The following is a 14,592-nucleotide window of genomic DNA, read 5'->3' on the forward strand; positions in this document are numbered from 1 at the left end:
GAAGGAACATATATTTAGTTGGAAACCAATGGTGTCCATGACAATGCATAAGTCTGTGTCTCTCTCTAGACTGAATTCTCTCTTAATCCCCAATCTCCTACCCTTGTGAATCTCCAAACCTCATGTGAGTTGAAATCAATCCCCAAGTTTCCAGTGTAAGCTGCTACATTTCAAAAGTTGTCTAAATTTCAGTGTGCTTTCAACTTCAAATTCTATCAATGCTATGCCCTACTGCCTGGGAAAATGTCTCATGTGTTCTGCTGATAGCATCTTTAGTCCAAGCTCTCACTCCCCTAACTCTGAAAAACCAAATTATTGTTTATCTTAATAGCATAGGCATTTCCTGGGTTTATTTTTTTTATGCCTAGTTTGGCCTGTCCGACCATCCTCTAGACTCCAGGACTGATATTCCACAGAAGCCAGGACTGTGGAGTGACAACCTTGTCTTATAACTTAAATAACTGAGATCTGATTATCTCCAATTTTGACAGGAAGTAGAGAGCAAGAAAAAAGAAGGTGGGAAAAGGAATAAAGGAATGGAATTGCTATGTAATGAAAGTACTTTCAATCATTTTTGAGTTCTTGCATATAGTGGGCAAGGCAATGATATAAGCCTTATTTTATTGATTTCTCATAAGAGCCCTATGTGATAGGTAACAAGTATTTGCTGTTTCACAGATGAGGAAATGAAAGTTGGAGAGGCTAAATATCTTTCTCAACATATTTAGACCATAAGTGTTGAGACCAGAATATAGGCCTGGACTGTATAACTATGACACAAAGAAAAACAAAGGTAGATTGAGACTGCAAAGTAAAATATGCCAACTTCTCAATTTTGTCTATGACTGGACCTTTTTACTTATTTAAAATCAAAGCTCTGTTTATTCATTTACTATTAATATTTCAGATACTTAATATTGCAAGGCACTGTACTAAGATGTGTGAGTGGATGCAAAGATGAATAATATATGGGGTGACCTCAAGAAACTTATCTAATATAGCAAGAGTGATAAATGGGATATTCCCATATTAAAATACACTAAATTGAATAAACAAAATATATTATTGATTACATATATAATTATATTAAAATATCTAAATAATGCCATGTGTATGCCAGTGGATCGATGGCCCACTTACAATGAGTATTGAGGAACTAAAAAGTAGGGAATCAGAGCATTGGGCATAGACTGCTTTACAAAGAATTTTTGCCGAGAAGACACTAGACCTAGGGATGGCATAAAGTTAAGGAGGAGTTATTGCATATTTTGTTATTATTATTATTTACAATTTGAGAAATTTAACAAGTGTAAGTTCAGGTGAAAGAACAAGGAAAGGGAAAGGCTGGAGATTAAACAGAAAAGGAAGAAAACCATGCAATTACTTTTCAATAGTTTTATGTAGACTTTCAGTAACCTATGGTTACTGGTTTCTAAATGTGTGCTTTCCATGTGTTTTTCTTGGCTGTTTGCTTTAATCTCTTTTGAATCTCAGGCTCAGAGGGCTGGGTGAATTAAACTTCTCAGTTCATGACACAGCATCATTATCATTGGGTCTATGCAAGGCTGTGTTCTTGCTTCATTTACTGATGCACTTATTTCTAATTTCATATCCCACTTCCAGTTCCGCACCTCTCCAATATTGCAATAGGCAACCATTAATCAATTTAATGTATTCATTTTTGTTTTATTGTGTTGCTGCAAGTTTTTATTATTGTTTTGTGTTTATATTTTGAAGTTATTAAAATGATGTTGTCTTGCCTATTTCATTTTATCTCTTATTGTCTTTGTCTCTTATTTTCCTTTCAGTATTATATCTTTAAAGTCATTCATGTTTCTATGTGCTATCCATTGATTCTGCCTGTGGCATTATACCCTCCAGTATGGATTCCTCCCATTTTACCTTCCACTCTCCGAGTGATGGAACCACAGAATGCCTCCAACACTCCACCACCACAAGTAATGCTGCAAAGGACATCGTCTTACATATCCCCTATCATTCACTGTGAGGATTTTCTTGTGATATGTAAATGTAGAGAAAAGTTTCTTGATTTCCTCAAGCAAATCTACTGGGACTGAGAAAACACTGAATATATAAATTAATTTGTGGATGATTGATATTTTATAATATTAAAACATCTCATCCAAGAGCATACGAATTCTCCACCTAACAACATGAAAATTTTCTCTAAAATATTTTTAAAAGGGAATATTTTGATTAACACTGCAATTGTTTAATACTAATTGTGTATTTGAATTCCACGTTTTTCTTGATCCAATTTTTGGTTGTTTTTATTTTTGGAGGAATTAATTCATGTTATTCAGTTTTCAGATTTGTAGGTGAATAGTAATTTCCATAGTCTTTTGCTATTCTTTTAATCTTTGCTGTCTCAATGATTTTCTATTTTCATTCTGTATTTTGTTTACTTGCATCTTTTTTTTCTTTTTACCTCTTTCTCTTTTTTCTTTCTTAATCAGATTTTCCAGACATCTTATTAATCTTTTTTAAAATTTAATGTGAAATTATGAATACTTTTACTGACTATTTCATCTTTTCTGCTCTCTTATCTTTTATTTTCCACCTTCTTCTTTCTTTGAGTTCACTTTCTTCTTCGATTTCCAACTTCTTGATTCGAATATTGAGCTCATTAATCTTTTCTCGCTTCTGATAAAGGTGTTTAAAGCTATCAAAATTTTTCCTTGTGTAGTTTTATCTGTTTCCCGCAAATCCTGACTTCATATATTTTTTGGAAGTCAATTATGTATCTATGTCTATATCTATCTAATTATGTGTCTATTATTTTTCATTATCCAGTTATAAATATCTATACATTTCCTTTATAATTTTCTAGGTTTGCCAAAGATTATTTAGTAATATGTAATTTCATTTTCAAAATATATGAGTTTTTCTTTGCTGTTATTTTTTATTTGTTCAAATTTCACTATGTTTTGGTGGCAGAAAAAAGCCTATGAAATACTGATACTTAAGAATTTATTTATTCTTCCTTTATGATCTCATGTATGACCTAGTTTTAAAAACATTTTGTGTATTCTGGAAAAGAATGTATATTTAATGTTTGTTAAGCCAAGGAGAATAGGTAGGTAGGTAGATATAGATAGACATAATAGCTCAATGTTTTTCATTGTATTCTTCAAATCTTCAATATCTGTATTTTTGGTCTACTTGTTCTACATGTTTCTGAGCAAAGTACTCTAGAAATGAATAACTATAATTGGTGATTTATCTCTTCCTTCCTGCTGTTTAGTTTGTTGTTTCCTTGATATATTTGGAATCCGTATTGTTAGACAGGCATATGATTATGATAGATATATTATTCTGCTCTATTGTGTCTTTTATAAGAAAAATGTTGTTATGTTATCTTTTTTTATTATACTTTAAGTTTTAGGGTGCATGTGCACAACGTGCAGGTTTGTTACACATGTATACATGTGCCATATTGGTGTGCTGCACCCATTAACTCGCCATTTAACATTAGGTATATCTCCTAATGCTATCCTTCCCCCCTCCCCCCACCCCACAACAGGCCCCAGTGTGTGATGTTCCCCTTCCTGTGTCCATGTGTTCTCATTGTTCAATTCCCACCTGTGAGTGAGAACATGTGGTGTATGTTTTTTTGTCCTTGCAATAGTTTGCTGAGAATGATGGTTTCCAGCTTCATCCATGTCCCTACAAAGGACATGAACTCATCCTTTTTTATGGCTGCATAGTATTCCATGGTGTATGTGTGCCACATTTTTTTACATGAAAATCTATTTTTGTCAGATATTGATAGTTTCCCCAGCTTTCTTTTAAGTTTATATTTACCTGGCATATTTCTCTCCATTCTTTCATTTTCATCATGTTTAGATGTTTTTAAATGGATCCCTAGTAAAAAAATATTAATGGATTCTATTTCTGAGTCTAGTCTGAAAGCCTAAATTACTACATCTTATTTTTCATCAGTATCAGGCAAATTTTATGATGAGAGTTTTATTTTTAAACTCTTAGGGAGAAATAAATCACAACCCTGACATCTGGAAGGGGAAGTGGTACAAAAGCAAAAGGTTGGACAATCTGTACATGTTTTCATCACTTTAGTGGGGATGTTTTTTTCTTTCTGGTAATTATTCCACCAGTACCATTATCCAATCTGAGATGTTGCTGCCAATTTCTAGTAATAAAGAGCAGGAAATAGTCATCCTAAGATAAGAAAAAAAAGATAATCAAAAGCAGAAAGTTAAAAAGATTTATCTTAATTCATTTTCTCATCAAAATATTCAGTAGCAATTTTCAGGCACTCACCATCCAAACACAAACCAATTTAGGGTAGTCATAAATCTCCTCCGTGGCTTCCCACACTGTTGTTAATTCTTAGAGTCCATGTTTCTTTCTTGCTTTTATAATCCTTTCAGGACTGACTGTATGAGAGAGAAAAAAGAATCATGCTTGTTCACGTTTTGGCAGATTCTAATGATTCATTTTAATGATTTTAGACAGAAAACTAGGTCAATAGGTCTTGGTGTTTTCTAGAATCTGGCATTGTGTAGGTATTGGCTGTAGGAAATTGCTAATTCCATAGCATTGACTGTATATTGTTATACAATTATTTGTCTTGTATCTGCCTTTCTTCTAGCCTGGTGCCATTGTTTTTATCATGTCTATTGTGTCTACCATAATTTTATCAGATACTGTGTGCAACATAAAGTGCTTGACTCAGCAATTTGTCATAGAAGGTAAATCAATACAGGCTGTTTAAATGCTTCAAATCTTCTGAGTTAGTTTATATAATTCAAATATTGCAATTTAATGTTTTTACTTAATATGGCTACAAAAAAGGAATGTACAATAGAGAGGCCTTTAAGTTAAATGACTTAAGAGAAATTATCTAGAAACAGTGAAATATTTTCTTTGCAGTGAAAAGGAAAGTGTATAGCAATGGAGAAAAGAAAATAACCATGACAAGGGAAAAATAATGAAAGTTGTTTTTACTCATGAAAGCTGGGAAAGTATATATGAGCTACATGTTTTTGAAGAATAGGAAAAAACATTCAGTGAATATTGTATAGCCCTAAATATAGAAATAAAATTTAAGAACCACCTCCTCTTCTGCCATTCTAAAGAGGAAAAAACGTTCATAAGGTAGGAACTTGGTAGAGTATAGATGGTAAAGAAATAGGAATTGCCAACCACAAATATCAATCACTGAATTAATGTTGAATTTTGAATTGTGTTTATTACATATGCTAATATACTTCTGTGACATTAATGATACAGAAATATGTTTGCAAAAATCACTAGGTTGAAAGTTATAGACATTGTAATAGATTGTTTCAAATAGTCCCAAATAAATCATACCCTTATAGTCCCTTCCCACACTGATTCTGGGCTGGTCTTATGACTTGTGCAGGCCAGTAGAATACTTCCTTGGCCAGAAGTAACATTGTATAAATTACAGGCTTAAATCTTGAAAGGACTTTTCAGCTCTTATTTTCACCCTCATGCTGTCTGAGACTCTACATCAGGGAGCCTGGGCAAGCCTCCTGAGGATAAGATAGAATTCCTGGAGATGAAAGACTATGAGGAGAAAGAGAAGTCCAGCCAACCCCCATTTATTCTAGCCTTCTCAGCTAAGGCACTGGACATGTGAGTGAGGCCATTTTGGACCCTCCAGCCCAGTCAAGACACCAGCTGATTGCCAACTCGAGAGTGAGCCCAGTTGACACCAGGAGGAAGCAGAGACAAGCAGCATGGCTGAGCCCAGTCTTGATCACAGGAAGATACAAATATTCATGATGTTGAGTTTTGTTTGTATGTTTGTTTTACAGCTTTATTGAGGTATAATGGGCGTAAGATACATTTCTCCCAGGTCAAAGGTATAATTTATATTTTAATATGAGGACACAATCATGAAATCCTTACCACAATTAAAATAATAAGCATAACCATCACCCATAAAAGTTTCTTTATGCCCCTTTGTACTCTTTTCTTCTTGCCCCTCCCCACATCATACCCTATCCTGGGTAAACCACTGATCTGTTTTCTGCTACTATAGACACATTTAACATTTTCTAAAGTTTTATTTAAGTGAAATCATATAGTGTGTGTTTGGCCTGACTTTTTTATTTTATTTTAAGTTCTGGGATACATGTGCAGAATGTGCGGGTTTGTTACATAGGTATACACATGCCATGGTGGTTTGCTGCACCCATCAGCCAGTCATCTACATTAGGTATTTCTCCTAATGCTGTCCCTCCCCTATCGCCCCCACCCCCCAACAGGCCCTGGTGTGTGATGTTCCCCTCCCTGTGTCCATGTGTTCTCATTGTTCAACTCCCACTTATGAGTGAGAACAAACAGTGTTTGGTTTTCTGTTCTTGTGTTAGTTTGCTGACAATGATGGTTTCCAGCTTCATCCATGTCCCTGCAAATGACATGAACTCATTCTTTTTATGGCTGCATAGTATTTCATGGTGTATATGTGCCACATTGTCTTTATCCAGTCTATCATTGATGCATTGATGGGCATTCCGGTTGGTTCCAAGTCTTTGCTGTTGTGAACAGTGCTGCAATAAACATACCTGTTCATGTGTCTTTATAGTAGAATGATTTATAATCCTTTGGGTATATACCCAGTAATGGGATTGGTTGGTCATATGGTATTTCTGGTTCTAGATCCTTGAGGAATCACCACACTGTCTTTCACAATGGTTGAACTAATTTACACTCCCACTAACAGTGTAAAAGCGTTCCTATTTCTCCACATCCAGCATTCCTGACTTGAATATGAACAGACACTTCTCAAAAGAAGACATTTACACAGCCAACAAATATATGAAAAAAAGCTCATCATCACTGATCATTAGAGACTTTTTTTCACTTAGCATAATCATTTTTAAACTTGTCCATATTGGGTATATCAGAAGATTACTTCTTTGTATTACTGACTAGCATTCCGTAATATGGATATACCACAATTTATTTATGCATTTACCTGTTAATGGACACTTGTATTGTTTACAATTTTTGACTATTACAATTAAAGCTGTTCTGAACATTCATGTACAACTTTTGTATAGACAGATGTTTCATTTCTCTTAAATAAATACCTGATGATAAAATGTCTGGGTTATGTGCTAGATATATGTTTGACTTGAACATTTTAAGAACTGCCAAACTGTTTTTAAGAGAGACTGCGCCACTTTACATTCCCACCAATCATGTATAAGAATTCCAGTTGTCCTATATCCTTGCCCACTACTGAGAGTCAGTCTTTTTAATTTTCCATATTCTAATATGTGTGTAGTAGTGTCTCACTATGGCTTTAATTAGCAATACTATAAAGACTAATAATATAATTAATTATTTAACCTGGGTTGTTAATTTCCTTATCATCGAGTTTTGAGGATTCTTTATACTATTTGTGCATATTTTCTTCCACTGTGTGATTTGTCTTTTTCATTTTTTAACAATGTCATTCAAAGAGTTCTTCATTTGGGTAAAGCTCAATCTATCATTTCTTTTCTTTTATAGATTATGCTCTTACAGTTGAATCTTTAAAAAATAGCCTAAACCAAGGTCGCAAATATTTTTCCTTTGTTTGCTTCTAAGAACTTTATTTTTTAAAAAACTTTTATGTTTAGGTTGTTCACTCATCTTGAATACATTTGTATTAGTTGTAATAAGATATGAATCAAGGTTCCTATTTTCACATATGGCTAACCAATTGTCCTAACACAATTTTTGAGAAAGGTTATCCTTTCCCCATTCAATTGCCTTGTCACCTTTCTCAAAAATCAATTAGGCATATATGTGTGAGTCTATTCATTGACCAATTGATTTATTTTGCCATCTTTGTGCCAATAGTACGCTGTCTTTATTAGTTTCTTTATGATAAATCTCAAAATTAGGTTTTAAGCCTCCAAATTTATTTTTTAAGGTCCTTATGGATTTTATACATTAAATTTATTTCTGCAAGAATTTTTAATCAGAATGTTGATTTCTATAAAAATAAAAGCAGTTCATATTTTTAAAAGGTGGCTGGAGATCACATTTAACCTATAGATTCAAAATTCTGAACAAGAATTTATGTACTTGTATTGTTTTAAACTTTTGCAATGAACTGAATATTTGTGCTACTTCAAAATCCATATATTGAAGTCCTAATCCTCAATATAATGGTATCTGGAAGTAGGATCAGGCCTTCAAGAGGTCATTAGGTTTAGAAGAGGTCATGAAGGCAGAGCCATCATGATGGATTAATGACCTTATAAAAAAAGGAACAGACCAGAGCCCTCTTTCTCTTCCCAGTGTGAGAATACAGCAAGAATGTGGCTGTCTGCAAATCATAGAGGGTCAGCAAACCAGGAACCAAATCAGCTAGCACCTTGGTGTTGGACTTCACAGCCTCCAGAACTGTAATAAATAGCTGCCTAGTCTATGATATTTGTTATAGTAGCCTGCACTGACTAAGGCATCTCTCTCTCTCTCTCTCTCTCTCTCGGTAATGTTTTATGGTTTTCAATTTACAGGTCTTGCATATTTTTGACAAGTTTATCATTAATGATTTCAAAATTTGATGCTATTTTAAATAGTACTTAAAATTTTAATTTCAGATTACTTATAGCATATAGCAAAATATTTTTAAAATATATTAATCTTGTATCATGCAAACTTGCTAATCTCACTACTATTTTTATAGATTCATTAGTATTTTCTACATAAACAATCAGATTATCTATAAATATAGCTTTACTTGGTCATTTACAATATGGACGTTTTTACATATTTTTATTGCCTTATGGCCCCAAATAAAATCTCTAGTACAATGTTGAATAGAAATAGTAATAGACATTTTTGTTTTGTTCCTGGTAAAGTTTTCAGTCTTTTCTCATTAAGGTTGAGACAGTTTCTTAGATTTCTTGTTTGTGGAAAGAGAGTCGTGTCAAATATGTTTTCTGTCTCAAATGAGATGATTGTATTTTGAGGGGGATTGAGGTTTGTGAACACAGTGAATGGATTACAGTGATTAATTATTAAATAGTAAATAAAATTTGTATTCCTGTAATAAGTCCCACCCAATCATCATGTTTTATCCTTTTTATAAACCATTGTGATAGATTTGTAAAATATTAAGACCTTTACTATCTGTTTTTGTGAGGTGTGTGGGTCCATGGCTTTCTTTCATTGTAATGTCTTTTTTTGATATCAGAGAAATGCTGAGCTCATGGAATGAGCTATGAAGTATTCTCTCTTCATAAATTTTCTGGAACAATTGGTATAGAGTTGGTATTATTTCTTCCTTAAATATTTGGTAGAATTAATAAATGAAGCCATCCAGACTTTTAGTTTCCTTTGTGATAAAGTTTTTAAATACAAATTCAATACCTAAATGTAAGGTCGTTTAGCTTAACTATTTAATCCTCATAAGCTTTGATAGTGCATGTCTATCAGTGAATTTCATCTAAGTAGTCAAATTTATTGTCATTAAGTTGTTTATAATGTTTCCTTGTTACTATTTAAACATCTATAAGATCTATAGTTATGTCACCTCTGACATTCCTGATATTGATTTTTACTTTATTTCTGGCCTTTCTGGCTGGACATTTATCAACTTCGTTGATGTTCTCAAAGGACCAGCTTTTTGTTTCATTGATTTTCTCTATTGTTTTACTGTGCTCTATTTTATTGATTTGCCCTATTTATTATTTACTCTCATGCTTACTTTGGATTTACTTTGATCTTCTTTTTCTGTTATTTTAAGATGAAAGCTGAATTCATTGATTTCAAATCTTTCTTCTTTTCTAATATAGGCATTTAGTTCTATAAATTTCTCTTTAAGAAGTGCTTTATCTGCATCCTACAAATTATTATATATTGTATTTTCATATTCTTCTAGATTACTTTCTAATTTCTGTTCCAATTTCTTCTTTGACTCATGTATTATTTGGAAGTGCCTTCTTTCATTTCCAAATATTTAGAAATTCTCTATACATCTTTTAAATTGATTTTTAGTTAAATTTTATTGTTGTTGTTTTAAGCCACTAAGTTTTTGGTGTTTTATGTAGCAATTAGATAATTGATAATAAATTGTCAGAAATATCTGAGTAAAGTGAGATACTGTATCAATCTGGGATTTGCAAAGAAGATAGGAAGACATTTAATACAATAAATTACATACATACTAAAACATTAGAAAGACTAGGAAAACAAAGGTCAGAAAAGGCATCACTAACTTCCAGGAAATCTGGAAATGGCAGGCAATGGCAAAGGAAATTATAAGAGTTTCAGAACACCACTGCAGACATGTCAGCTGCTTGCAGCACTGAAGCAAGTGATTGACAAAACATGTGAAGGCACTGGAAAAAACATCAGGTCTGTCTTTTGCCTGTACATTGGCTTACTGCTGCCAGAGCAAAATGGCTTTGATTCTACTTCACCTTCCAAATATTGTATGGTACCTTTCAGGGGTAGAATCTAAACAGAAAATAAATTCTTGGAAAAGTATCTTCCAGGCTTTCTGGATTCTGGAAAGACAAAAGGATAAGATAATTATTAAGCCCCAGTTGGCTAAATCCTAAAGCAAGATAAAGATTCACTATCTCTTGTCTTGTCAAAAATTTTCCTCCTGAGCCATTCTAGGGTGGTGCCCATCGCTGCTGAGAATGACCAGACCACAGCTGATAGAACATTTACAAACCACAGTTTTGTCTTCTCATGTCCCCCAGAGTACATCAGAGCATGTGTCCCAATCGAATTCCCTTCCTGGTGAATGTATATGCAAACCACATGCTGTGCAAGGACATATAGCATTCCGTATTTCAGAAAACAATAATACAATCAATGATAAGGCACTTCCATACATGTCACCTCCTTTGACTCTTACAATAATTATCAGTTTTGGTAAAAAAAAAAAAGCATTATTACTCCAAATTTGGAAACAGAGACTCAAAGAGATTAAGTAACATTCTAAAAGTCATGTGGCTAATGATTATCAGGAGGACAGATAGATATCAGATCTAATGCTAATCCAGTGCACGTGTTATTTTCAACTTTCTGATTGCTTATGTAAGGGAGTAGGATTAAATGGTAAAAGGTCAACTTCTAGTATTATATAATTTCATAATTTCCAGCAATAAGGCAACTGAGTGATACTGCTGAATGGGTGGTAATTGCCAGTCAGAGTGAATTGTGTTATTAGGTTACATGGGAGCTGCTCCCGTAACCAATATCATATAATTTAACTATTAAAGATTGTTTATACAAATATTAGCCAGGCATTGTGGCTCACGCCTGTACTCCCAGCTACATGGGAGGCTGAAGCACAAGAATTGCTTGAAACTGGGAAGTGGAGATCGCGCCACTGCACTCCCGCCTGGGTGACAGAGCGAGACACTGTCTCAAAAAAATAAATAAATAAATAAATAAAAGATTTGTATCATTGTTTACAGTGATATATCAGAAATATTCTACCACTCCCACAGTAGGCAATAATTTAGGCAGCACATTGATTTCAATGAAATTTTAACTTCTTCTTACCTTTACCATATTAGTATTGAGTTATATGTCTCCCATTGATAAAATGTACGATTCTATTACTTTTTTTTGAAGATTTAAAATGTCGCCAGATTATAGCTTTCAATGTATTTTTCCTTAGAGATGACTAACATAGCTGATTCCCCTCTAAAAATAAAGTGAATTTAAGTCATACTTTACAGCTGATAAAGTAAAAAGAAAAAAGTAATCAAGTGAAGCACTCTGAATTTAAGAGCAGTTTTAATGCAGTTCTGGTAATTCTGGGAGCTAAATTTATTTCTGAAATTGTTAGCTTAAAAAAGTCTTTACTTAGCCCAGGTTATCTAGAAAAGAATATCATTATAGGATTAGGAGTTAGGTTAAACACTCCCTATTGAAGGATTTTTTTCTTATGGTAACAAATAGTATGTTGTATTCTAAATGAAAAATAAAATGTGATGCCTTTGGTAAATGACTTAGTATCTGAAAATGAGTTTGAAATTAAATAATAAAAGATAAGTAGAATGATAATCTGTAATAATTAGATTCTTTTATAGAAACACACATTTTAAAGATTTCGCTATTAAAAATGGCCTCACATGTTAAGGCATAAAAAGATTAGCTTTATAAGACAAAAGTATCAAATCTTTCAACCAATTCTTTTTAGAAATCTAACATGGAAGTCATTATAAATAGTTATTCAGACTTTTTATTCTTATTTTCTGTGCAGTTAGGCTTGTGGCACATGCTACTTTTGGCAAAGTTTTTGGTCCTGAACCTTGGATTTGGGCCCTTAAATTTGTAATGACAGATAATGATCAAGTTAGGGTGCATAAATCTAGGTTTTAGAGATGATGCCAGCTCCTGTCATTACAAGAATTTCTACAAATTCTCAAGATACATGTAATTGAAGTTATTAATAGCTTCAAGCTGAAGTTGAGCTGACCTTCCAGGAGCCACCTCTTCTTTGTAAAAGATACAAGACCAAGCTCCTATGACTTTTTAACTACAAAGATCTGCTTTTCATTTATAATATAAAGGCATTGTTCTATAAGTATTTTTAAGAGTTCTTAACCTCAGTCAATGCTACAAAATATCTGTATTACGGTAAGAATAATGAGATTTTATAGGGGATTTTCTCATAGAATTTGCTTATAATACTGTGGAACTAAAAGGAATTTTGCAGAGTTTTTGCTCTGCTTCCTTCATTTGTTTGATTTTTAGTTTTCTAAAAGAAAGTAGTTTGAATGCCCAGGACAATTACATATAGACACTCACATACAAAATATTGCACAATTTCAAGTATTCATAGACCTCCCTTGAAAGTTAAGATTGGCCTGTAGATTCCAGGTAATGACTCTACTAGAGGTACTTCCAAATATACTGCTACCTATCAGAGCTGAACACAGGAAAATTTTTGGTTTCCCAGAAATTTACCTTTTTATATTTATCCTTGTTTTTCCCTTGCCATACTTTTCTCAATACTAATTTGGGTTATGGCACTGTATATGTGAACAATATCCTAAATCCTTCTTAAAAATAATTTTCTTAAATTTCATTTTAAATTAGGAGTTTCTTTGGTACAATTAAGGAAAATACGTCAATTGATTAATTTTTTGAAGTAGCAAATGTAGTGGTGGCATGTAGCAGTAGAAAATATATAGGTTTTAGCATAAATCAGATCTGATTTCAAATACTGTCTCTGTTACTTTCAAACATCTTTAGAAAATGTAGTAATCTCTGAAGTCAGTTTCTTAACCTCTAAATTGTGAAAATGACTTTACTAAATGTCTCTTATTTGCTATACATCATGCTAAGTTATTTGTATAAGATATGCATTGTCTAGTTCCTTTGAAAATCTATGAAAAGTTATTATTTATATCTTGCAGCTGTGAATATTGAAGCTCAGAATCATTAGTAAGCTTGCCCAAGATTAATACAGCTAATACTTGGTAGAGTAGAGATGGAAATCCAGGTCCAATTTAACTACAAAACTTCAAAATATACTGACTTGTGAATATTAAACATGTGAAAATCCAACTACAGTAATAGAATATATTAAAAATAATGAGCAAAACCCATAGCTAAGAAATTTAAGTTGTAAGTTCATAGAATCTCTGCTTTTAAGGTCAACCCTTTCTGATACTATTGCCACCACCACACTGCATTGATATAAGATGAAGATTAAGAGACAAACATTGTAGAAAATGTTATGAAAAAGGAAAACACACACACACACACACACCCCACATTCCATCTGCCGGTCTCCCTTTTTGGTAGGTGGCATGCTTTTCTTCTGAAAACCAATGTAGGAAGCCCAAGGAGAATGCCTTATAAGTGTGGAGTGCCTGTTAAATGAAGGAACTAAATTTGTTTCTTGGTTAGACGTCTATTTAGCCATCAGACTTCCTGCTCTCTGTGCTACCAAAGCTTTGGTAAAGAAAATTAGAGATGGAGGTTTTGTTATGATTTTCAGGCTGAGAGAAGAAAGAGATAAAGACAGTACCCTCTCAATGTTTGTTCCTGCAGCATCTGGTCTGGGACCTCACCAAATGGCTGGATAATAGGCAAAGCCATGGTTTTACAGGGGACCATAGGAGTGTGGGTCACAGATGTACATTTTTCAGAGGAATGCAATACAAGGCTGCCAGATAGGCTGATGTATGTGGTTTTATTTCACTAGAGAGCACCAATGTGCAGGTGAGCTGTGTGGGAGTGAGTCTTTCATGTACAGAGCCCTATAAGTCAATATCAAGTCCATAGAAAGTAGGCAGGTTGAGGAGTTTGCCAAATTAAAGAGAGGACAGGTTTTGCCATGGGCCATCATCTAAGAAGCCTGTCTCCCATACCCCTCCACCCAACTCCCACTTTTCTAGAAAGACACACACTAGGGAAAATGTAAGTTACTGATTTGGAAACCAGAACATTCACTCTTTCATCCCCTACCCCCACCACATACACATTTTCAAACCTCCACGCCACTAGAGTTTAACTTCCTGGAGGCTGGGGGGTAGGAAAACAATAGTGATTGTTTTAATAATAAATAGTGTTTTAATAATAAAAAGTGATAATAAAAAGCTC

General features: G+C 33.5%; 1 long non-coding RNA gene across 2 annotated transcripts in view; it reads right to left on the minus strand.

Annotated features, from left to right (window-relative positions):
- Window positions 1-3,974: 3,974 nt before the first annotated feature.
- Window positions 3,975-14,592, minus strand: part of LOC105377378 (uncharacterized) — a 30,113-nt gene continuing 19,495 nt past the window's right edge. The window contains exons 2-4 of one of the 2 annotated variants that reach the window (XR_939091.3): window positions 10,458-10,523; window positions 4,303-4,418; window positions 3,975-4,200 (exon numbers count right to left, since the gene is read on the minus strand). This is a non-coding gene — a long non-coding RNA (uncharacterized LOC105377378). The remainder of the gene's footprint in view (window positions 4,201-4,302; window positions 4,419-10,457; window positions 10,524-14,592) is intronic. The other variant, XR_939090.3, reaches the window with a different exon arrangement.

The sequence above is a fragment of the Homo sapiens genome, chromosome 4 (genome assembly GCF_000001405.40).
Source record: "Homo sapiens chromosome 4, GRCh38.p14 Primary Assembly".
In the NCBI taxonomy this organism is placed as follows: Eukaryota; Metazoa; Chordata; class Mammalia; order Primates; family Hominidae; genus Homo; species Homo sapiens.